General features: G+C 45.2%; 2 protein-coding genes across 55 annotated transcripts in view, besides 8 other annotated features; one reads left to right on the top strand and one right to left on the bottom strand.

Moving 5' to 3' along the window:
- ERC1 (ELKS/RAB6-interacting/CAST family member 1) overlaps positions 1 to 11,210 on the bottom strand; it is a 505,975-nt gene extending 494,765 nt beyond the window's left edge. For 24 of the 52 annotated variants that reach the window (NR_027948.3, NR_027946.3, XR_001748631.3 and 21 more), the window contains exon 1: positions 9,682 to 9,946. The gene's annotated coding sequence lies outside the window, so the exon portion shown is untranslated. Of the gene's footprint in view, positions 1 to 9,549; positions 9,620 to 9,681; positions 9,947 to 10,539; positions 10,624 to 11,078 lie in introns of those variants that run through there. The other 28 variants (XM_017019056.2, XM_047428559.1, XM_047428564.1 and 25 more) reach the window with 6 other exon arrangements.
- Positions 9,132 to 9,426: a silencer, noted in NCBI's record as "tiled region #6010; HepG2 Repressive non-DNase unmatched - State 1:Tss". NCBI's record gives its function as "represses a minimal TATA promoter and a strong SV40 promoter by Sharpr-MPRA in HepG2 cells {active_cell/tissue: HepG2}" and the evidence as "EXISTENCE:reporter gene assay evidence [ECO:0000049][PMID:27701403]".
- Positions 9,430 to 9,991: an enhancer, noted in NCBI's record as "H3K27ac hESC enhancer chr12:1100344-1100905 (GRCh37/hg19 assembly coordinates)". NCBI's record gives its function as "activates a minimal SCP1, AML or CMV promoter by ChIP-STARR-seq in primed H9 embryonic stem cells {active_cell/tissue: H9 hESC(primed)}" and the evidence as "EXISTENCE:reporter gene assay evidence [ECO:0000049][PMID:30033119]".
- Positions 9,430 to 10,141: a biological region, named in NCBI's record as "H3K27ac hESC enhancer GRCh37_chr12:1100344-1100905".
- Positions 9,632 to 10,141: a silencer, noted in NCBI's record as "silent region_4111". NCBI's record gives its function as "represses an Ori minimal core promoter by ATAC-STARR-seq in GM12878 lymphoblastoid cells {active_cell/tissue: GM12878}" and the evidence as "EXISTENCE:reporter gene assay evidence [ECO:0000049][PMID:35858748]".
- The window catches only part of RAD52 (RAD52 DNA repair protein), a 79,387-nt gene continuing 65,023 nt past the window's right edge, over positions 10,047 to 24,410 (top strand). The window contains exons 1-2 of one of the 3 annotated variants that reach the window (XM_017019769.2): positions 10,047 to 10,118; positions 11,128 to 11,360. The gene's annotated coding sequence lies outside the window, so the exon portion shown is untranslated. Of the gene's footprint in view, positions 10,883 to 11,127; positions 11,361 to 24,410 lie in introns of those variants that run through there. The other 2 variants (XM_005253720.6, NM_001297419.1) reach the window with 2 other exon arrangements.
- Positions 10,162 to 10,271: a silencer, noted in NCBI's record as "silent region_4110". NCBI's record gives its function as "represses an Ori minimal core promoter by ATAC-STARR-seq in GM12878 lymphoblastoid cells {active_cell/tissue: GM12878}" and the evidence as "EXISTENCE:reporter gene assay evidence [ECO:0000049][PMID:35858748]".
- Positions 10,553 to 11,115: an enhancer, noted in NCBI's record as "H3K27ac hESC enhancer chr12:1099220-1099782 (GRCh37/hg19 assembly coordinates)". NCBI's record gives its function as "activates a minimal SCP1, AML or CMV promoter by ChIP-STARR-seq in primed H9 embryonic stem cells {active_cell/tissue: H9 hESC(primed)}" and the evidence as "EXISTENCE:reporter gene assay evidence [ECO:0000049][PMID:30033119]".
- Positions 10,682 to 10,731: a silencer, noted in NCBI's record as "silent region_4109". NCBI's record gives its function as "represses an Ori minimal core promoter by ATAC-STARR-seq in GM12878 lymphoblastoid cells {active_cell/tissue: GM12878}" and the evidence as "EXISTENCE:reporter gene assay evidence [ECO:0000049][PMID:35858748]".
- Positions 17,516 to 17,717: a silencer, noted in NCBI's record as "fragment chr12:1092618-1092819 (GRCh37/hg19 assembly coordinates)". NCBI's record gives its function as "represses an EF-1alpha promoter that drives an FKBP-Casp9 reporter gene in an ReSE screen in K562 erythroleukemia cells {active_cell/tissue: K562}" and the evidence as "EXISTENCE:reporter gene assay evidence [ECO:0000049][PMID:32094911]".

The following is a 24,410-nucleotide window of genomic DNA, read 5'->3' as shown; positions in this document are numbered from 1 at the left end:
GCACTTTGGGAGGCCGAGGTGAGCAGATCACCTGAGGTCAGGAGTTTGAGACCAGCCTAGCCAACATGGTGAAACTCCATCTCTACTAAAAACAAAAATTAGCCAGGCGTGGTTGCCCATACCTGTAATCTCAGCTACTTGGGAGGCTGAGGCAGGAGAATCGCTTGAACCTGGGAGGTGCCGTGAGACGAGATCGCATCACTGCACTCCAGTCTGGGCAAAACTCCATCTCAAAAAAACAAACAAACAAAAAAGTTAATTAAAAATAAATAAATACACAAATAATGGCTTCAAGAAAGAATTCCTTCAAAAGGTAAGTTATATTCCTACAGTAAAATTATGTTTAAGGTCTGAATTTTATTTCTTGAGAAGTTTTTACAATTTCAGACACTTAATTTTTTTTGTTTTAAGACAGAATCTTGCTCTGTCACCAGGCTGGGTGCAATGGCGTGATTTTGGCTCACTGCAACCTGTGCGTCCCAGGTTCAAGCGATTCTCTCACCTCAGCTTCCCAAATAGCTAGGACTACAGGCACACACCACCACACCCAGCTAATTTTTGTATTTTTAGTAGAGACGGGGTTTCACCATGTTGGCCAGGATGGCAGAGACACTTAATTTAAGTTCACACAAATTTTCATCCCAAAATTTTCATCCCATTGGGTTATTTTTTTTTTTTTTTCTGAGACAGGGTCTCGCTCTGTCATCCAGACTGGAGTGCAGTGGTGTAATCCCAGTTCACTGCAACCTCCGCCTCCAGGGTTCAAGGAATTCTCATGCCTCAGCCTCCAGAGTGGCTGTGATTACAGGCGTGCACCACCACACCCAGCTAATTTTTTTATTTTTTAGTAGAGATGGGGTTTCGCCACGTTGCTCAGGCTGGTCTTGAACTCCTGGCCTCAAGTGATCCACCCACCTCAGTCTGCCAAAGTGCTAGGATTACAGGCGTGAGCCACTGTGCCTGGCCTGATTATCTTATTTCCATGCAAAAGGGCTTCCAAACATAAATGCATTAACAATGAGAAAAAATGAAACTAATATATACAAAAGGGCTGTCACATAAAAATTATCTATTCATCACTTAGCACACCATAATAAAGTTAAAAAGAATACAGGTGTTTAGTTTCATTCTTTGGTGAACAACTAAAAATGACTGTTCAAGAGTTGCCACCTTTCTGAAGCACAGCCCTGATCATGCATCTCCTACTCAGAAATCTTCAATAGCTACACACGCAGTATCTCAAGATTGGAAGGAATCTTAAAAATCACCTAGCGGGCTGGGCACAGTGGCTCACGCCTGTAATCCCAGCACTCTGGGAGGCCAAGACAGGCGGATCACCTGAGGTCAGGAGTTTGAGACCAGCCTGACCAACATGGAGAAATCCCGTCTCTACTAAAAATACAAAATTAGCTGGCCGTGGTGGTGCACGCCTATAATCCCATCTACTCGGGAGGCTGAGGCAGGGGAATCGTTTGAACCCGGGAGGCGGAGGTTGCACCATTGCACTCCAGCCTGGCGACAGAGTGAAACTCCATCTCAAAAAAAAAAAAAAAAAAAAATCACCTAGCACCAGGTTCAATGCTTGCAACCTGGCAGAGGATGCACTACCTCATAGAAACATTCACACCATCACTGAACAGCCATGGCTCTAGAAAAATAAAAAGCAATAGTAAAATGGAAGGTGGAGGAGAGGGAGAAATCAAGAACACCACACACATTTCCGGCTTAAGCACCCAGTGGTGTCATTTAACAAATTAAGAAACACCAGAGGAAGTGTAGGAATCATACATTCCGTTCTGGATGTGTTCGGTTTAAGGGGCATCCAAATGGAAACATTCAGTAGCAATTCGATAGAGTGGTCCTCAGACTCAGGAGAGAGGTAAAAACTGAAGACATAAAAATGAATACTCAGCACACAGATGAAAAATGAAATAGAAAGCGATGAGAAAGCCCAAAGAAATTCAAACATTTAATAAATGAGCACAGAAAGACTCAAAAGGTGACTGAGAGGCCAGGCACGGTGGCTCACGCCTATAATCCCAACACTTTGGGAGGCCAAGGCAGACAGATCACCTGAGGCCAGGAGTTCGAGACCAGCCTGGCCAACATGGTGAAACCCCATCTCTACTAAAAATACAAAAATTAGCTGGGTGTGGTGGTGCACACCTGTAATCCCAGCTACTCAAGAGGCTAAGGCAGGAGAATCACTTGAACCCAGGAGGCGGAGGTTGCAGTGAGCCAAGATTGTGCCACTGCACCCCAGCCTGGGCGATAGAGCAAGACTCTGCCTCAAAAAAAAAAAAAAAAAAAAAAAAGTGACAGAGAAAGAGCCCAGAGAACCAGCAAGAAAAACAGAAAAGTGCTCTGAAGACCTCAAGAGAAGAGAGAGCTTTACAAAGGAAGGAGGGGTATCCGCTCTGTCAAATGCTGCTGTGGTAGACAGTCCTGAAATGGCTATGAGTGATCTCTGCCTCCCAGCATTCATGCAATTGTGAAATCCTGCCTTGAGTGCACTGGACCTAGTGACTGGCTGATAACAGAATACAACAAAAGTGATACCACATCACTTCCAAGATAAGGTTACAAAAAGATTCTGGCTAATATCTGTCCTCTTTTGAAGACAGAAGCACTGAGATATCATATTTTAAGTAGTCGTACGCAGAAACCCAAATGGCAAGGGACTCACCTCTCCAGCAAGCAGCCAACAAGGACCTCAGGCCTGCCAATTGCCGCATGAGTGAGCTTGGAAACAGCCTCCCCAAGTAGCGCTTTGAGATGACTGCAGCCTTGTGAGAGACCCTGAATCATAGGTGCCAACTGCACCCACATTCCTGATCTACAAAATCTGTGAAACAATAAATGTTTCTTAAGTTAGGGGGTAATTTGTTATATAGCCAATAGAAACTAGCACAGCTGCTAAGAGGTTAAATAAGAACAGGATAGTAAAATAGACATTGGCTATTTTCATACATATTTTCACTAGCTATTTTCAGTTTCACTGAAATAATGGCGATAGAAACAAGACAGAAATAGGTTGAGAAGTCACAGGTGAAGAAATGGAGATACACAGCAAATGCAGAAAACTCTTAAGTGTGTAAAGCAGAGAGCAACTTAGAGCAATAAAGTATAAATCTGGAGTTTTTTATTAAGATGAAGAGACATTTTAAAGTTTAAATGATGATAACAAGCCAATAGGGTGGAAAAATACACTCTCATGGAACTTCATTCTTTTATCAAGAAACTCCTCTAAAAGTCTTCAACTTCCTTGGGAAATGTTCTTGCTACCTCTCTGCCTTAACTGAAAGCTGACTTTCCAATCAGGACACCTCTTCTCATATAGTCCTTTTAAGTGAAAGCTACTCAGTCTCTTCCACTCCACACCCAATACTGGGAAATGAGGCTGGTACCTTCCTTCCTGCCAGTGCCAGTTCCAGACCACTATTCCCAAACCCTTACGTAAAATCTTAGTCTAATTCTCATGCTATTCAGCAGCACAGTCTTCAACCTCTACCTCTTCACTATCAGCTAATGACCACCTGGACATCCCCCATACTCAGTAAGGATATGCTGGCAACTAGTTCACAGCTGCCATTATCCTCTATGCCACCAGTCTTGCTACCATCCTGTGTCATTTCAATAAATGTATGGATGAGTCTAACACCAAGTTCCTCAAACCCAAGATCCTCAACAAGCACCTCTTTATTTCCTGGGTATTCAACTTGTGAATTCACATTATTATGCTAGCATCCATTCATTCATCAAGTATTTAATAAGTATCTAATAGATAGTTCCTGTCCTCAAGAAATCTAGGACACATATGTTCGTACTTTCCACAAAGACGACATGAAAAAGCCTAGCTGACGTATACATAAATTCCAACTACTGCATTTCCTTTATTTATCAGTCAAGTAACCAAGTCAATTCTAGGCAACTACTGTCTGATGTGACTTAGTGAATCCATGTTTGATCCTAGCAGTCACTATTTCCCTTGACAGGCTTCTAAAACTATCTTTTAAATAAGCTATTCTAAAATAGTGCCTGGGCAACATAATGACGCCTTGTCTCTCTACAAATTTTTTTTAATTAGCCAGGCATGGTGGCACATGGCTACAGTCCCAGCTACTCTGGAGGCTGAGGTGGGAAGATCGCTTGAGCCCAGGAATTCAAGGTTGCAGTAAGCTATAACCGCACCATCGCATTTCAGACTGAGTAACAGACCAAGACCCTTCTCAAAAAGTATAAAATATTGCCAGTGTTCAGTGTCAGAGTGGAAGATAAAATGTTTCTTATATGTATGCAATTTTAGAATAGGTAATGTCCTATTACACAAAATTTCACTGGCTAAAAAGAAAAAACAAGAAACTGCAAACAGTGATTGCCTTCAGAAAGAACTAGATGGGATAGGAGAGACTTTTAACTGTGTATTCTCTTATACCTTCTAATTTAGTACATATATTACCTATTTCTTAAAATAAGTGTACATAAAATTAACAACAACAATAAGAAGTCATGTGCCTTTCCTTAGCACTCCCAGGTTGCCTATTTTGTTCTGAAAAGAATGATTTTTTTTAATTTACAGATGGGGTCTCACTATGTAGCCCAGGCTGGAGTGCAGTGGCTATACACATATGCAATCATAGCACACTACAGCCTTGATCTCCTGGACTCAAGCAATCCTCCTGCCTCAGCCTCCAGAGCAGCTGGAACTACAGGCATGTGACACTGTGCCTGGCTGAAATATTTCTTAAAAATCTACCCGGAGAATGAGGCCAGGTGTGGTCGCTTATGCCTGTAATCCCAGCACTCTGAGAGGCCAAGGCGCGCGGATCATGAGGTCAGGAGATCAAGACCATCCTGGCTAACACAGTGAAACACTGTCTCTACTAAAAATACAAAAAAAAAAAAAAAAAAAAAAAAAAGCCAGGCATGGTGGCGGGCACCTGTAGTCCCAGCTACTCCGGAGGCTGAGGCAGAATGGTGTGAACCCAGGAGGCGGAGATTGCAGTGAGCCGAGATTGCGCCACTGCACTCCAGCCTGGGCAACAAAGAGAGACTCCATCTCAAAAAAAAAAACAAAAAAAACAGAGAAGTAAAAAACTAAAAGACTCTTACATTTGTCTCATCTATCTCACACTAAAACTTATTTAGTCATTTCCCTGTTATTAGACATCATAATCAAGCAGAATTCTCTCTTACTCAACATTCTGACACAACTTTAAACAATGACACCGCTGACCGTTCCCTCCTTCTTGAAAGCTTCCTTTCCTTCACTTCTAGAATATCATACTCCCCTGGTTTCCCTCCTAACTCAATGATTTCTTATCACTCTCCTTTACTGGTTCCTCTTGATTTCCCCTCACGTATCTAGAAGGTAAGTTCCATGAAGGTGAAAACTTTTGTCAGGTTTATATCCCCAATGCCTAAAAAGGTACCTAGAAGAACCATACTCACTAAGTAACTTATGAATGAATAAGTGAATGAATCAGTCCCCTAGGCTCAGATGTTTGGATCTCTTCTCCACCAAAATTCACTCCCCTGATGATCTCACCTATCTCATAATCATAAATACTACAAAGAAGCTGAAAACAGCCACATTTCTCACTCTTCCTGGACATCACCCTGAACTTCTGGTTTCTCCACAAACATGCTCCATGAATTACCATCTCCAATTCAGTTACTGGCAACTTTATTCTTCCAGTTATTCAGGCCAAAAACCTTATTCTTTATTCTTCTGTTTGGCCCACATCCCGCAAACAACCACCAACAAATTCTATAGGTCTACCCTCAAAATACATACAAAATCCAACCCCTCCTCCCCATTTCACCTTGGTCAGAGATACCCTCACCTGGAACAATACAGCATAAGCTCCTGACTACTGCCCGTACTTTTATTTATTTATTATTTATTTGAGATAGCCTTCCCTCACTCTGTCGCCCAGGCTGGAGTGCAACGACGGAATGACAGCTCACTGCAACCTCGAACCCCTAGGTTCAAGTGATCCTCCTGCCTCAGTCTCCTGAGTAGCTGAGACTATAGGCACATACTGCCATGCTAATTTTTTTTTTTTTTTTTGAGACAGAGTCTTGCTCTGTCACCCAGGCTGGAGTGCAATAGCACGATCTCCACTCACTGCAACCTCCGCCTCCTGGGTTCAAGAGATTTTCCTGCCTTAGCCTTGCGAGTAGCCAGGATTCCAGGCACGCGCCACCACCCCCAGCTAATTGTTTGTATTTTCAGTAGAGACGGGGTTTCACCATGCTGGCCAGGCTGGTCTCGAACCCCTGACCTCATGATCCGCCCGCCTTGGCCTCCCAAAGTGCTGGGATTACAGGCGTGAGCCACCGCACCCGGCCTAATTTTTTTATTTTTGTAGAGACATGGTCTCGCTATGTTGCCCAGCCATCCTCCCACCTCGGCCTCCCAAAGTGCTGGGAGAACTGTTCACTACTATGATACCAGCATCTAGAATATGTGGTACATAATATGTATTTAATATATACTTATTAAGTAAAAATAGTATACACAGTTAAACTTCAAATGATGTTAGTGAACCAGCTAATTATGTGCCCAAACTGTTCTAAATACATGAATTAATTCATTTGACCAGCTTAAGAGGTTAGGTACTACTGTTATTATTTCTATTTTGCAGATGAAGAAATTAAGGTACAGGTTAAGGTTAGGAAATAAACAACATTAAGCAGTTTGCCCTACATCATACCATGGCAAAGCCAGGATTTGAACTCAGGCACTCTGACCCCAGAACCCAAACTCTAGTACACTGAAAGACTTGGTGAGCAACAGATTTCAATTACATTCCACACACAAAAAATAAATAAGAAAAAAAAACAAATTATATTCCACATAATCTGTATGCTAAGTTTATTTTACTATATGTCTCTGAAAACTGATAATCAATGTACTACTGATTCTTAAACCAAAATACTTCATTTCTTGATCTTTTTCCATTAATGTTTCTGATGAAATATGTGTAAAATACACATTTAACAACTCTCATACTTCTAAATGTAAACATAGTGTAAAACCGAGCAGCTGTTGCTATGAAAACCTTCACTTTTTTTTTTTTTTTTTTTTTTTTTTTTTGAGACGGAGTTTTGCCGTGACTCAGGCTGGAGTGCAGTGGTGCAATCTCGGCTCACTGCAAGCTCCACCTCCCAGGTTCAAGCAATTCTCCTGCCTCAGCTTCCTGAGTAGCTGGGGTTACAGGTGTGCACCACCACACCCAGCCAATTTTTATTTTTATTTTTTGAGATGGAATCTCGCTCTGTAGCCCAGACTGGAGTGCAGTGGCATGATCTCGGCTCACTGCAGCCTCTGCCTCCCAGGCTCAAGCAATTCTTCTGCCTCAGCCTCCTGAGTAGCTGGGATTACAGGCATGTGCCACCACGCCCAGCTAATTCTTATATTTTTAGTAGAGACAGGGTTTCACCATGTTGGCCAGGCTAGTCTCGAACTCCTGACCTCATGATCCGCCTGCCTCGGCCTCCCAAAGTGCTGGGATTACAGGCATGAGCCACGGCGCCCGGCCAAGAACCTTCACTTTTAAGTTTGCAGTATTAATGTTGAATTAACAGACTGGCATACTTATCTATGACACAGGTAATGAAGGAAAAAAAACACCTCAGTAGACTCAACAAGGATATCACAAGTAATGACTAGCAAGCAACATTTTTTGAAAAATAAAATGTAGGCATAATTTCAGGCACAAGAAATGCTAAACGAAATAGCTTACTTTTACCTTAAGACTTTCCCCAAATTATGTGATTTCATTCCTACAAGGACAAGAATCACAGCTTACTACCAGCCATGCAAATGTCATTTTAGGAGTACACACAAGTTTTACCCAGTATCTTAGTTCACATTTGTCCCAATTAATTAAGTCTATGTATAATTTAAAAGCGAAAACTAGATATGTCAATTTTGTTTTCCTTCTAACTAATCCAAAGTCAAAACTGTTCACTTTACCAAATGAATTAACTGAATACAGTTAATTAAATCTTTTATTTATAATTAAAAATTGGAACACACACTTTCTCACTTAATACCTATTATGTCCTGTTTCCCATACCTCTCTATAAAGTAGAAGTATTTGCTGGAAGACAATAATCTGCTCATTAAGTAGGCACTTAGAAAAAGCAACGATCTGCAACTACTGAAATTCTTATCTGTATATTTCTCTTTTGGGTTACAAGAAAGCACTTCTCTGGCTATTTTCCCAAATAAACTAGGCAAGCCTTGGGAAAGTCACTGCTTAAATCCCACTTTCTGACAGCTTCTCTTCCTCCATAAATGAATTATTGAGAGCCATGTCTACTTCCATCCATTACATAATACATGTCCATCATGGGACCTGTTTTCTGAACAAGAAATAGCTTAAATGACACTAACTGATAAGTAGGGCCAGAGAATACTGTAATCTAACAGGGAGCAAGAATCCAGAAAAGAAGATTCTGATTTACAGTGCTAAGTTGTGAAAGAGTGATGTGAAGAACATTGAACACTGCTTACTCTAATATTTCCATACAAAGTGACACACCTGCCCCCAAAATGTTTTTAAAGCACTTGACTCCAAGAACATTTCTCAGAAATTGAGGAGCCTACCAAAAAAAAAGAGTTCCATTTCATTTTAAAGTGTTTTAATAAAGACTGCAAGAAACATAACTGCAAATGAGAAATAAAATTTCAACAATTTAGCACTGAACACAAAATGTCTAAAAGTCAAGGTGTACTGAGCAAGCAACACGCTATAAAAGACGGTTGTACTTTAAAACATTTAAGCATTTTTCATATAATTAGCTCCAACAGAACTATTCCAATTGTTCACTTTATCCACCCAAAGCAGTCAACCACAACCACCTGCAACTATTATTCAGCAATGTGCCTTCCAAAGCAACCACCTGAGTTTGGGGCCTTCTCTCAAGGGGCCAGGATAAAGCCTGTAAAAGGGTGGTATAAAGAGATCTTTTAGGCATTGGGGGGAAAAAAAACTGGAAGACACCACCTTGAAGGAGCTAAGCGTAATGCGACCCAAATGGTGGCTGCCGGAACGAAGTTGTCTAAACCGAAGATCTCCCTCTTCTTCGGTGTAAAACTTTCAGATACATCCACGCTCACAATTTACCTGAGCCAAAGTAAGGGGATTCTCTTCCCTCTCCGACCCCCCACCCACCCCGCCAGAAGAAAAAGAATCGAACCCTAAAGTAGAAACGTGAGATCTAGTGCAATAAAATAGGTTCTGCAACTGCCTCAAAGGCAACATGCACAGCTCATCGTCCTTTTGAAATACACTTCATCTTTTATCTCACCATTTCATCGAAAAGAAAAGAATCATCTTCAGCATTTTACATCACTCACCTAACCCAAAGATCCACCCTGACCGCACCCCAACCTCATGGCTCCCCAATTTCTCCGTCTCCCCACTACCTCGTCCGCGGCTTCACTAGTCCTAAGCCTCCCCCCCTCCGCTCCCCAAGTGCCCAGAGCCCCAGTCCCCACTCCCCCACCTCCCGCCCCAGGATCCCCACATCTACCGCCTCGGCTCCCGCCCGATCCCGGAGCCCGGCTGGGTGGAGCCCGCGGGTGGGCGCCGGTGGTCTGGGTGGGGCCCGCCCCTCCCCACCCCCCGGGCTGCCGAGGAGGGGGAGGGGGTCGCGAAGCCTCACCTACAGCTCCGCCCCTCCCCGGGGGCGCGTTGCCCTGCCCAGCCCAGCCCGGGCCGTGAGCAAGAAGCTGGGTAGGAAAGGCGAAAGCCTCAGCACTAGCGACAGGGGGGAAGCTCTGGGTCCCGCGCGACTTCCGCGCTGTCGCCGCCGCCGCGGCCGTCTCACCGTCCTCAGGGCTGCCGCTACTGCTGCTGCTGCCGCCCAGGCACCGCCGCCGCCGCCACTACCGCCGCCGCCGCCGCCACAGCACGGCCCAGGCGCCCGCGACGTCACCGCGCCCCGCCCCCTGCGCGAGACACCTAGCCCCGCCCCCAGCCCCGCCGCGGGGCGCAGCGCGCCTCCCCGGGCTCCCGGCTCGGCTGCCTCCCTTTCCCTCAGCCTCCCGGGAGCGTGACGCGGCGGCCCGGGGGCCTCCGGGCGCCTTCCGGGGCACGCGGGTGAGGAACTGGGAAGCGGGGGAAATCGGCGCCACGGCGGTCGATTAGCACCGAAACAGAGTGATGGGCGCGGAGCGTCCCTGCACACACACACACACTCACACACACACACACACGACCCCTGCGGCCACGGGAGGGGAGAGCCGGGGTCGGCTCCGCGAGCGCAGGGTGGCGCTTGTCTCCTCCTGCTTGCCGTAGGAAGTGGACGCTGGAAGCCCGAGGAGCCGCTTCGTGTCTTCCCAAACCTAAGCGGCGCCCCACCCCCTACTTCTCGTGGCCCGTTACGCCCGGGGCAGCCAAGCGCCGCGGGAGCAGCGCCGGGATCGACCCTGGCTGCTGGGGGGACGCTTTGTCCCAAGAAAGCTGGTTTTTTGCCCCTTAGCTTCGTGGAACGCGGCCGCGAAATTAGTGGTCTTCTGACCTGAGACTCGCGGGGCTGCGCACACGGGCATCGCCGAGGACCCCAGCAATGGACGTCGTGTCTGTGGTGATCCCGCCAGGACGCGGGGAGCGTGGGCGGAAATTAGTGTCCACGTTCCGACCCTGCGCTGTGCCAAACGCTGCTTCGGGAGCTGTTTATTTAGCCTCCGACAGCTAAGCGAATCGGCGGGCGGCTGGGGCCTGGTGCAACCCGATTTTCTCGTGCAGACTCGCAGCCGGCTTTGGTTTTGTTTTTTGTTTTTTGTTTTTTTTTTGGAGCCATGCAGAGGGTAGCTACAGCCATTAATTTAAGGATGTAGATAAGCTATCTCTAAACCAAGAAAGTAAGAATGGTGTGAATTATATTTATTCCCAGCCTTCCAGTGTTTATTAAAATAATTTTCGGTGTCCTTGAGAGGAGTTAAAAGCCATCATTTTACTCCTGCTTACCTCCGCCACCGTAATTAACCACTTTATACTGCCTCATAATCCCATTAACAAATTGCAGTCGCTCCTCAGCCTTCACATTCATTCACTCACCAGTTTCTACTGTTTCATCCTGCCCGGACTCTTAACTGTTCCCTCCCAGGATCGACATGCACTTGGATCATTGCAGTTTCTGGGCCTGCTGTCATCTCCCCCTTCAGTACTTCCCACATATGACTACCAACTGTTAGACGATGTGCTGCTGCCAGACCAGCCTTTCATTTCTTGGACATCCGGCTATTTACCCAGGAAAAGTCATCCTTTGACTATTTTTCATGACCTTTCTCATCTGACTCGTGATCTGCCCATCTTGTTACTCCCTAGCAGTGTGGTAAGGTAAGAGAAAATTCAACTAGGAGTCAATAGATATTTCTGTTCTCATTCTCCCACTGTCTACTTGTGTGGCCTCAGGCAATTCATTCTACTTGTGGTCTTACTTAACTGTAAAGTGAGGTTTGAAGTAGGTGTCTGAGATACATCATGTCCTTAAAATATGTGGATCTGGAGAATTAAGTTGCTAAGCGCTATGTTATACACGGAAATACTGTCCTAACACAGATTCAGATTTTTGTTTTTTATTTTTTGCCACCACACTGGCAAAAAATATTATTTCCTGCCCTGCTCCAGTTATCTTTTTTAAAACCTACGTTTAGGATTTTTGATTAAAGCTAGCTAACCGAGCACATGTATTTACTGTCTCTTCTTCCTGAGACCCCATAAAATGATGATAAATAAAAGTGATACAAAATAGAAAATGAGAAGGGGGACATCGGAAGATAATTTTTTTTTATTTGACATGCAAAAAGTAAGTGTGGTCTGACAAAATAAAATGGAGAAAAGCATAATGTAGAATGGGTGTAGAGGGTGCTGTAGAAAGGAAGGGGACCTGTCAGCCCAGAAGTGCTTTAGGGAGACGGAGATTTGGAGATAACTACCAGACAGAGCAAGAGTGAGAAGCAGAGTTGAGACCAGGGAGACTAAATAAAGGTCTATATAAGGAAGAGCAGAACCCTCCCTATATCTCAGATACAATATCTAGGCATTTATCCAGGCTAAAATTAAGCACTCTGATAATCTGGGGAGATTTGGGTTAACTGAGTATTGAAGGGCCTAAGAGTAAAGTATTCTTTATTCTAGCACAATAGCTGGTTTCCTACCCACCCACTTTAAAGTGTAGTTGGGCAAGTTGGCAGGAACTTCCTGCTATGGTTTGGATATGGTTTTTTTGTCTCTACCAAATCTCATGTTGAAATTTGATTCCCAGTGTGATAGTATTGGGAGGTGGGTCCTGATGGGAGGTGTTTGGGTCATGGGGGCAGATTCTTCATGAAGGACGTGGTGTCATTCTTACAGTAGTGAGTTCTCACACTTGCGAAACTATGTTGGTTATCAGGAGAATGGATTTGTTCCTTGGAGAGTGGTTTGTTGTAAAGCCAGGACTCACCTCGGGTTTGATTTCTCTTTGCATGTGCACAGACACTTTTCCTTGACCTTCTCCGCCATGTCTTGATGCAGCACAAAAACCCTCACCAGAACTGAGCAGATGCTAGTGCCTTGCTTCCTGTACAGCCTGCAGAATTGTGAGCTAAACAAACCCGTTTTCTTTATAAATTACCCAGCTGCAGGCATGCCTTTATAGCAACATAAAATAGACTAAGACACCTCCCAAGTTCACAAGACTCCCCATCAGCATTCCAACTGCCTCATACGTATGAACAGACAACTAAGTGTTATTAGGTATTTAAGAAAAGTCTCCAACATGGACTGTGGGGGCAGATAAACAGAAACTTCAGAGAATTTAGAAAGGAAAACCTAATTAGTATACTAGGATACTCAGATGAAGTAACAATCCAAGGTTTAAAAATAGATCTTGAAATTTAAAATAAATTGCCAAATTATAAATTCAATTAAAATATTGAAAGATAAAGTCACTGAACTTTTAAAGAAAATAGAAGAAGCCTGGGCAACATAATGAGACCCCATCTCTTTAAAAATGTTTTAAAACTTAGCCAGGTATGGTGATGCGCACCTGTGTTCCTAGCTATTCAGGAGGCTGAGGTGTAAGTATTACCTCATCCTGGGAGGTCAACGGAGCAGTGAGCCAGGATGGTGGTGCTGCACCCCAGCCTGGGTGACAGAGCAAGATACCTTACTTCAAAAAAGAAAAGAAAATAGGGCTGGGTGCAGTGGCTCGCGCCTGTAATCCCAACACTTTAGGAAGCTGCACCCCAGTCTGGGTGACAGAGCAAGAGACCTTATTTCAAAAAAGAAAAAAGAAAATAGGGCCGGGTGCAGTGGCTTGCGCCTATAATCCCAACACTTTAGGAGGCCAAGGCAGGCAGATCGTTTGAGCCCAGGAGTTTAAGACCAGCCTGGGCAACATGGCAAAACCCTTTTTCTACAAAAAAATACAAAAATAAGTCAAGTATGGTGGCATATGCCTGTAATCCCAGCTACTCAGGTGGCTGAGGTGGGAGGATAGCTTAAGCCCAGGAGGCAGAGGTTGCAGTGAACTGAAATAACACCACTGCACTCCAGCCTGGGCAACAGAGCCAGATCCTGTCTCAGGAAAAAAAAAAAAAAGAAAACAATAAATATACAAAGGGGTGGAAATTGTGAGAGAAAATAAGATAAAGAATTAGTTCAACAGGACTAATATTATGTGAAAAAGAGAAAACAAAGTTAATGAAGGACAGAAAATTATTGAAAAAATAATGCAAGACAATTTCCTAGAACTGAAAGAATCCACTAGTGCAGAACCAAAAGAAAAAAAAAATTCAACCATGTGAAATGTTTGAACTCTAAATATAAAGAAGATTCTAAGTTTCCAAAGAGGAAAAAAAGGAGCCCATAAAAGGACAAAAATCAAACTGGCGGGCTGGGCACGGTGGCTCACACCTGTAATCCCAGCACTTTGAGAGGCTGAGGCGGGTGGATCACGATGTCAGGAGTTTGAGACCAGCCTGGCCAACATGGTGAAACCTCGTCTCTACTAAAAATACAAAAATTAGCCAGGCATGATGGCGGGCACCTGTAATCCCAACTACTCAGGAGGCCGAGGCAGGAGAATTGCTTGAATCCGGGAGGCAGAGGTTGCAGTCAGCCGAGATTGTGCCATTGCGCTCCAGCCTGGGCAGTGAGCAAAACTCCATCTCAAAAAATAAAAATAAATTTTAAAAAAGAGTTACTTAAATGTGTGCTCAAGCAAAATGAGGGAGAAATCAGGGTATCTGACAACATCCAGTAATCACTAGATCCAATTCAGGAAAACAGTAAAGGGAAGTCCCAGGAACTTAGTTAGATTGGAACAGAAGGGTAGGAGTTCTGGGAGAGAAAACGCCCGGAAAAGAGAGAATTAAACAGAATAATCAGTTACTATGATAAAAAAAAAAAAAAAAAGCTTAGAAGATGCTGCTTTTAGGGGTTTCAACTTTTACACCCAACCTATTAATGAAGCATAGTCTTGCTATCGTTAAAACAGTTTAGGCTCAGTAGGTCACATCTGTAATCCCAGCACTTCTGGAGGCTGAGACAAGAAGATCGCTTGAGGACAGGAGTCAGAGACCACCCCAGACAACACAGCGAGACCCTGTCTCTACAAAAAAATTTTAAAAATTAGCCGGGAATGGTGGCACACACCTGCAGTTCTTAGCTACTTGGGAGGCTAAGGCAGGAGGATCCCTTGAGCCCAGGAGTTCAAGGCTGCAGTGCACTATAATGGTACCACTCTCCAGCCTGGGCAACAGGGTGAGACCCTGTCTCAAAAATAAAAACAAAAGCAGGCTGGATGTGGTAGTTCACTCCTGTAATCCCAGCACTTTGGGAAACTGAGGCAGAAGGATTGCTTCAGCCCAGGAGTTCAAAGCCAACCTGGGCAACATAACGAGACCCTGTCTCTATTTTAAAAACAAGGCCAGGTGCGGCGGCTCACACCTGTAATCCCAGCACTTTGGGAGGCCGAGGCAGGTGGATCACCTGAGGTCGGGAGTTCAAGACCAGCCTGACCAACATGGAAAAACCCCATCTCTACTAAAAATACAAAATTAGCCAGACATGGTGGCACATGCCTGTAATTCCAGCTACTCAGGAGGCTGAGGCAGGAGAATCACTTGAACCTGGGAGGCAGAGGTTGCAGTGAGCTGAGATTGCGCCATTGCACTCCATCCTGGGCAACAAGAGTGAAACTCTGTCTCAAAAAAAAAAAAAGGCCAGGTGCGTTAGCTCATACCTATAATCCAGCACTTTGGGAGGCCAAGGCGGGTGGATCACCAGGTTAGGAGTTCGAGACCAGCCTGCGCAAGATGGTGGAATACTAAAATACAAAAATTACAAAAATTAGTTGGGCGTGGTGGTGGGCGCCTGTAATCCCAACTACTCGGGAGGCTGAGGCAGGAGAATCGCTTGAACCTGGGAGCCGGAGGTTGCAATGAGCAAGACTCCGTCTCAAAATAAATAAATAAATAAATGTTTTTTAAAAAAAGTGGTGCTTGAACAATTGAATATCACATGCAAAAGAATGAAGTTGAACCCATACCTCACATATATGAAAATTAGTTCAAAATGAATCAAAGACCTAAGTGTAAAGCTTAAGCTAAAATACTCATAGAAGAAAATATAGGTATAAATCTTCATGGCTTTGGATTAGGCAATAGTTTCTTAGCTGTGAGACCAAAGGACAAGTAACAAAAGAAAAAAATTGAGACCAGGTGCAGTGGCTTTATGCCTGTAATCTCAGCACTTTGGTGGGGCCAAGGCAGGAGGGTCACTTGAGCCAAGGAGTTCAAGACCAGCCTGGGCAACATAAAGAGACCCCCATGTCTGCAAAAAATTTGAAAGATTAGCTGGGTGTGTTGGCATGCACCCATAGTCCCAGCTACTTGTGAGGCTGAGACAGAAGGATTCCTCGAACCCAGGAGATCAAGGCTGTGGTGAACCATGATTGTGCCACTGTACTTTAGCCTAGGTGACAGACCAATATCCTGTCTCCAAAAAAATAAAATTAATTGGACTTCATCAAAATATAAAACTTTTGTATTGGCCAGGCATGGTGGCTCACGCCTGTAATCCCAGCACTTTGGGGGGCCGAGGCAGGCGGATCACAAGGTCAGGAGATCGAGACCATCCTGGCTAATACTGTGAAACCCTGTCTGTACTAAAAATACAAAAAATTAGCCTGGTGTGGACAGGCGCGGTGGCTCACGCCTATAATCCCAGCACTTTGGGAGACTGAGGCGGGCAGATCACAAGGTCAGGAGATTGAGACCATCCTGGCTAACACGGTGAAACTCCATCTCTACTGAAGAATACAAAAAATTAGCCGGGCATGGTGGCGGGCGCCTGTAGTCCTAGCTACTTGGGAGGCTGAGGCAGGAGAATGGCGTGAAGCCGGGAGGCGGAGCTTGCAGTGAGCCGAGATCACGCCACTGCACTCCAGCCTGGGCGACAGAGCAAGACTCCATCTCAAAAAAAAAAAAAAGTCTTTTGTATTATTCAGCCTTAAAAAGGAAGGAAATTCTGACATATGCTACACTGTGGATGAACCTTAAAGACCTTACACTAAGTAAAATAAGCCAATCATAAAAGTATAGATCTTATATGATTACATTCATATGAGGTACCTAAAGTAGTCAAATTTATAGAGACAGGGCCAGGCACGGTGGCTCACATGCATATAATCCTAGCACTTTGGGAGCCTGAGGCAGGTGGATCACCTGAGGTCAGGAGTTCGAGACCAACCTGGCCAATATGGCGAAATCCCATCTCTACTAACAATACAAAAAAATTAGCTGGGTGTGGTGGCAGGCACCTAGAATCCCAGCTATTCGGGAGGATGAGGCAGGAAAATCGCTTGAACCCGGGAGGCGGAGGTTGCAGTGAGCCGAGATTGCATGACTTCACTCCAGCCTGGGCAAAAGGGCGAAACTCTGTCTCAAAAAGAAAAAAATTCATAGAGACAGAAAGCGTAATGGTGGCTGCCAGAGGACAGAGGGAGGGGGAAGAGGGAGTGTTTAATGGGTATAGAGTTTCCGTTTGGGAAGAAGAAACATTTCTGGAGAAGATAAGGGTGATGTCTGCAGATCATTGTGAATGTACTTAATGCCACAGAACTATACACTGAAAAATAGTTAAAATAGTAAAGTGTTATGTTACTTACATTTTACCACAATAAATAAATATTTTAAAACTTATGTGCATCCATTACACTGTTAAAGACTGAAGTATATTCCTCCAAAATTCATATGTTGAAGCCCTAACTCCCAGTGTGACTATATTTGGAGATGAGGCCCTGAAGAGATAATGAAGGTTAAATAAGTCATAAGAATGGTATCTAACCCAGTAGGACTGGTGTCCTTATAAGAAGAGGAAGAGATACCAGTGACAAACATCAGAGAAAAGGTCCTGTGCAGATCCAAGAAGATGCAGCCGGCCGCGTGCGGTGGCTCATGCCTGTAATCCCAGCACTTTGGGAGGCCAAGGCAGGTGGACCACCTGAGGTCAGGAGTTGGAGACCAGCCTGGCCAACATGGAGAAACCCTGTCTCTACTAAAAATACAAAAATTAGCTGGGCATGGTGGCGGGCACCTGTAATCCTAGCTACTTGAGAGGCTGGGGCAGGAGAATCATCACTTGAATCTGGGAGGCAGAGGTTGCAGTGAGCTGAGATCACGCCATTGCTCTCCAGTCTGGGCAACAAGGGATGCTCCGTCTCAAAAAAAAAAAAAAAAAAAAAAAAATCTTCAGGAAAAAACAACCTGCTGACACCTTGATCTTGGACTTCCAGATTCCAAAATTATGGCAAATAAATTTCTGTTGCTTAAACCACCCAAACTGTATTATTTTATTATGGTATCCCTAGCAGAATAATGTAGACTTTTATGCCAAGAAGTGGAGTGCTGCTGTAATAAATACTTTATAAATGTGGAAGTAACTCAGGAACTGGATAATGGGTAGAGAGTGAACGAGTTTTGAGGTGCGTGCTGGAAAAAGCCTGATTGAGCCGTGTGCAGCTGCTCACACCTGTAATCTCAGCACTTCGGGAGGCTGAGGCGGGCGGATCACTTGAGATCAAGAGTTCGAGACCAGCCTGGCCAACGTGGTGAAACCTTGTCTTCACTAAAAATACAAAAATTAGCCAGGCCTGGTGGCACACGCCTGTAACCCCAACTACTGGGGAGGCTGAGGCAAGAGAATCGCTTGAACCCGGGAGGTGGAGGTTGCAGTGAGCCAAGATCATGCTACTGCACTCCAGCCTGCTTGACGGAGTGAGACTCTGTCTCAAAACAGAACAAAAATTAGCAGGCATCGTGGTGCGCACCTGTAGTCCTAGCTACTCAGGGCAGGGGCGGGCGGGGGTGTGGGGCTGAGGTGGGAAGATCACTTGAGCCTGGGAGGTCGAGGCTGCAATGAGCCGTGATCCCACCACTGCGCTCCAGCCTATGTGACAGAACAAGACCCTGTCCCCCCCGCCAAAAAAAAAAAAAAAAAAAAGTCTAGATTGTCTTGAAGAGATTGTTGGTAGGAGTAAGGAATAAAGGTGATTCTGGGGAGGTCTCAGACGGAAATTAGGAACATATTATCGGAAAGTGCGGGAAAGGCCATCCTTTCTTCCACAAAGAATTTGGCCAAATGGTGTTCTAGTGTTTTGTGGAAAGTGCAGGTTCAAAGTGATAAATTTGGTTATTTAGCTGAGGAGATTTCTAACCAAACTGTTGAAGGTATGGCCTAGCTTCTTTTGGTTGCTTTAGTAAAATGTGGGAAGAAAGATAAACTGAGGGAATTATTAAGCAAAAACAAAACTTGAAGATTTGAAAAATTCTCAGTATTTCATAGAGATTATAGGTGCAATTTACAAATTTATTCAGCTTTCTCAGCGCAAGCCAGGAAGAGAGATGAGATTATACCAGCATAAACACTGTCATCTTGGACTAAAGGGGACACAGGACAGAAGGAAAGAAGGCTGTCGTAATTCTGGGATCCTAAAGGATGAGGCAACAGAGTTATCTGGCTGTGAACACATGTTACCCTTTAAGAAAAGGGAAGACTGATCCCAAAGGAGATTCAGTTAGCAACAAGGCTGCCATTCGAACTGCAGGCCCAGAAGATACAGGTCTGGGGAGCTAAGATGTCTCCTCAGTTCCAGAAAGTCAAGCTGCTGCCATCCAGTGCCTCAGAGGCATGGCTGCTACCCAGGACCAATAGGGCCAACGTGGTGATGCTGCCTCCCCCGTGGCCCTAGAAGGCAAGCCTGCTAATCCACTGGGCCAGGAGGGCAGAGCGTCAAGCCAAAGACAATTATTCTTCAGCCTTAAAGTTCAACAGAATTTGCCTTGCTAGGTTTTATTTTATTTTATTTTATTTTATTTTATTTTATTTATTTATTTATTGAGACAGAGTCTCACTCATTCTGTCGCCCAGGCTAGAGTGCAGTGGCTCAGTTTCAGCTCACTTCAACCTTCACCTCCTGGGCTCGAGCGATTATCCTGCCTCAGCCTCCTGAGTAGCTGGGATTACAGGCGCGCACCACCACGCCTGGCTAAAGTCTTACTAGGTTTTGAATTTGCTTGGGACCCATGTCCCCATGTCCCTGTCTTCTTTCCATTTTTTGCCTTTGGAATGGGAATGTCTGTTCTATGCTTGTCCCACTATTATACTCAGGAAGTACATAACTGGCCTGGTTTCATACATTCACAGTCAGAAAGGAACTTTGCCGCAGAATGACTCATATCTCAAGTATCACCCACACCTGATTTGGATAATATTTATTTTGGGTTTTTATTATTGTTGTGGTGGTGGTTGTGGTTGTTGTTGTTTTGAGATAGGGTTGCACTCTGTCACCCAGGCTGGAGTGCAGTGGCACAATCTTGGCTCACTAGAACCTCCGCCTCCCTGGCTCAAGTGATCCTCCCACCTCAGCTTCCCAAGTAGCTGGGACTACAGCCACTTGCCCCCACATCTGGCTAATTTTTTTTTTTTTTTGGTAGAGACGGGGGTTTCACCATGTTGCCCAGGCTGGTCTTGAACTGCTGACCTCAAGCTATCTGCCCACCTCAGCCTCCCAAAATGCTGAGATTACAGGTGTGAGCTACCACACCTGGCTATGATTTAGATGATATTTAAATGAGCCTTTGGACTTAGAGTTGATGCTGAAATGAGGTAAGACTTTTGCGGCTGTTGGGATCAGGATAAATGCATTTTATATGTGAGAAGGACATGAACTTTGGGGGTCCAGAGGACAGAATATTATGGATTGAATTGTATTCCCCCAAAACTCATGTTGAAGTCCTAATCCCCAGTGAGGTCATACCCAGTCTGTGGTATTTTGTTATGGCAGCCCTAGCCAAGTAATACAGACACTGTCAAGAAAGTGAAAAGGCACCCAGGCGCGGTGGCATGGTGGTGCATGCCTGTAATCCTAGCTACTCAAGAGGCTGAGGCAGGAGGCCTGAACCCAGGAGGCGGCGGTTGCAGTGAGCTGAGATCGTGGCACTGCACTCCAGCCTGGGCAACAGAGCAAGACTCTGTCTCAGAAAAAAAAAAAAAAGAAAGAAAGAGGCTGGGTGCAGTGGCTCATGCCTGTAATCCCAGCACTTTGGGAGGCTGAGACAGGCGGATCACTTGAGGTCAGGAGTTCGAGACCAGCCTGGCCAACATGGTGCAACCTCGTCTCTACTAAAAATACAAAAATTAGCCGGGCATGGTGGCAGGCACCTGTAATCCCAGCTACTCGGGAGGCTGAGGCAGGAGAATAGCTTGAACCCGGGAGGCAGAGGTTGCAGTGGGCCAAGATCGCACCATTGTACTCCAGCCTGGGGGACAAGAGTGAGACTTCGTCTCAAAAAAAAAAAAAAAGGAAAGACAACACAATAGGAGACATTTTGCAAATCACATATCCGATATTTTTTTTTCTAGCCTATATAAATAACTCTCTTCCCTCCCCTTCCACCCCCCGCTGGCCAAGATGGAGTCTCACTCTGTCGCCCAGGCTGGAGTGCAGTGGCACAATCTCAGCTCACTGCAACCTCCGCCTCGCAGGTTCAAGCAATTTTCCTGGCCTTAGCCTCCCGAGTAGATGGGATTACAGGTGCCCACCACCACGCCCAGCAAATTTTCGTATTTTTAATAGAGACGGGGTTTCATCGGCACGATCTCGGCCCATTGCAAGCTCTGCCTCCCAGGTTCATGCCATTCTCCTGCCTCGGCCTCCCGAGTAGCTGGGACTACAGGTGCCTGCCACCACGCCTGGCTAATTTTTTGTATTTTTAGTAGAGATGGGGTTTCACCGTGTTAGCCAGGATGGTCTCGATCTGCTGACCTCGTGATCCGCCTGCCTCAGCCTCCCAAAGTGCTGGGATTACAGGCAGGAGCCACCGCACCCGGCCAAGAGCTGCCATAATAAAATACTGCAAAGTGGGTGGCTTAAATAACAGAAATTTATTTTCTCACAGCTTTAGAGGCTAGAAGTCCAAGATCAAGGTGCTGGAAATTTGGTTTATTGTGAGGCCTCTCTTCCTGATTGCAGACAGCCATCTTCTCACTGTGTCCTCACATGGCATATTCTCTGTGTATGCACACACACACACACACGCACAGAGAGAGAGAGAGAGACGGCACATGTGGTCTGGTGTCTCTTCTGACAAGGACACTAGTCTTATCTGTTAAGAGCCCCATTCTTACGTCCTCAATTAACCTTTTTTTTTTCTTTTCGTGAGACAGAGTCTCACTGTTGCCCAGGCTGGAGTGCAGTGGCATGATTTTGGCTCACTGCAACCTCCACCTCCCAGGTTCAAGCGATTCTTATGCCTCAGCCTCCCAAGTAGCTGGGATTAGAGGCGTGTATCACCACGCCATGCTAAATCTTTGTATGTTTAGTAGAGACGGGGTTTCGCCTTGTTGCCCTGGTTGTTCTTGAACTCCTAAGCTCAGACAGTCCACCCACCTCGGCCTCCCACAGTGCTAGGATTACAGGCGTGAGCCACCATGCCTGGCCGCATCATTTAACCTTACTTACCTCTTTAAAGGCCCTTCTCCAAATACAGGCACATTGGGGGTTAGGGCTAAAATCTATAAATTTGGGGTGAGCACAATTTCAGTTCATAACAATTACCTGTGGGGGTGGGTGGAATTGATGGGAATGGTAATGAGATTTCCCTGAGCACACCTTTTTTTTTAAAGTTTTACATTTTGAATCATATACATGGCTTATATCTATATCTATCTGTCTGTCTGTCTATCTATCTATCTATCTATCTATCTACCTATCATCTACTTTTTTTTTAAGAGACGGAGTCTCTGTCACCCAGGCTGGAGTGCAGTGGTGCAATCTCAGCTCACTGCAACCTCTGCCTCCTGGGTTCAAGCAATTCTCCTGCCTCAGCCTCCCGAGTAGTTTGGATTACAGGTGTGCACCACCGCCTCCTGGGTTCCAGTAATTCTCCTGCCTCAGCCTCCCGAGTAGCTGGGACTACAGGTGCACGCCGCCATGCCCAGCTAATTTCTTTTGTATTTTAGTGGAGACGGGGTTTCACTGTGTTGCCCAGACTGGTCTCAAACTCCTGAGCTCAGGCAATCTGTCCACCTTGGACTCCCAAAATGCTAGGATTACGGGCCTGAGCCACCTCACCCGGCCAGTTTATATATTTTTAAGAACTTAATTCAAAAATGATGAAGCAAATGAACCTAGTTATATAAAATTGACACTATAGCCACACTGAAAAAATTTTAATTCAAGTTACATTTGAACATAGTATTCTGACTGCACATCCTTAATTGTATGTAGTTTAAGAACTACAAACGGCCGGGCGTGGTGGCTCACGCCTGTAATCCCAGCACTGTGGGAGGCCAAGGCGGGCAGATCACGAGGTCAGGAGTTCGAGACCAGCCTGACCAACATGGTGAAACCCTGTGTCTACTAAAAATACAAAAAAAAAAGAAAAATTAGCCGGGCATGGTGGCATTATCTAAATGTCTTTGGAAAGATAGTCCAGAACGAAAGGACAGTTGGTGCCTCTACTCAAAGGGATTGAAGAAACATGAGACCATGGAAAACTGTATCTCAGTAGCCAGTCTGTGGGACATTCTATAAGACAACTGGCCTGGAATCATTAAAAATATCAATCAGTGTCAATGTCACTGTCATTGTAGCAAATGTTGTCAGTGTTCTGCCCATATTCACTCAACTTGATCATTTCAATGTCCCATTCACAGCTGATGTCCCACTCATAGGTTTTGCATTTCTTTGCTCAAGGGCTTAAACCCATGTCTAAGGCAGAGAATTAATACCCTCCCAGGGGGCAACCCTCAATTAGTGACTGATAAAAGTCAGTGTATAAATATTCCAGCTCCCTCACCCTCTGAGTGAGATAACTCTGAAATATATGGTTACACTAGTTCCCTGAGCTCCCCAACATTCCCAAAGCAGTGTTCAGTGGTGACTGGCTTGATAACACACGCTATTGTCTGCTTTCTTTCCCTGTCTCACTTCCCCGTTACCTACTGGTGTTGTTAGAGTGGGTAGATAGGCAGATAGGAGCAGGGCAGGATAGGGTCCCAAAGAATGTCAGACAACTATCAGGTGACTGCCAGGCAAATGTCAGGCAGCTGGTCAAAGGGGAGGGGAAATTTTCCTAATAAACAGGAGACATCTTGGGCTTGTGGGCAACAACTTCTTGGTAAGAACTTGAAATGGTGGAGTTTGACCTTCCTCAGGGGACATGGCCAGGCAAGCATGGTAAGGTGCAAAATGGCAGCGTTTGACCCATATGTGACCTTCCTCTGGGGGCACTAGACCAATAAGGGAAAATTGCCCTAAGAGAGCATGCACGTAACTTCAGTATGGCACATGTGCCCCTCCCAGATACTAGCAAGACATTGCACATGCAGCAATTAGCCAACAGCCTGCCAAGGGGGAGGGACAAGAGGAAGAGACGGGAAAAGTCAGAAAATAGCAAATCTGCGAGTCCTGAGCCAGCAATCAGGCAGAGTACTGAATTTTTGAGTTGCCTGCTTGGTTCCTTACATGTGTGCTTTTATTTGCTTCAGTGAATTCTTGTTTCTGCCTTAAATCTACTTCTGTCTCAGCCAAATTCATTCTCCCAAGAAGACAAGGATCGAGGACTGTGGAGCCAACTCAGACTCGCCACGGCTAACAATGTTTCCTGGGATCGCCTCCCAAATAAACTGCTTGTACTTGAACCCTTGTCTCAGAGTTGACTACTGGAAGAACCCCAGATAAGACAATCTGCGAGTAGACATGTCAGATAATGCAGTTAGATATGAATCTGGAATTCAGAGGAGAGGCTCATGCAATTTGCAAGTCATCATCAAAAAGATGTCATTTGTTCTGTTTGTCTACTGCAGGAAGACAGATTACCCTAAAATTTAGTGGCT

Source organism: Homo sapiens, chromosome 12, assembly GCF_000001405.40.
Source record: "Homo sapiens chromosome 12, GRCh38.p14 Primary Assembly".
Classification (NCBI taxonomy): domain Eukaryota; kingdom Metazoa; phylum Chordata; class Mammalia; order Primates; family Hominidae; genus Homo; species Homo sapiens.
Note: the sequence above shows the minus strand (reverse complement) of the source record. Positions and strands in the feature narration are given on the sequence as shown.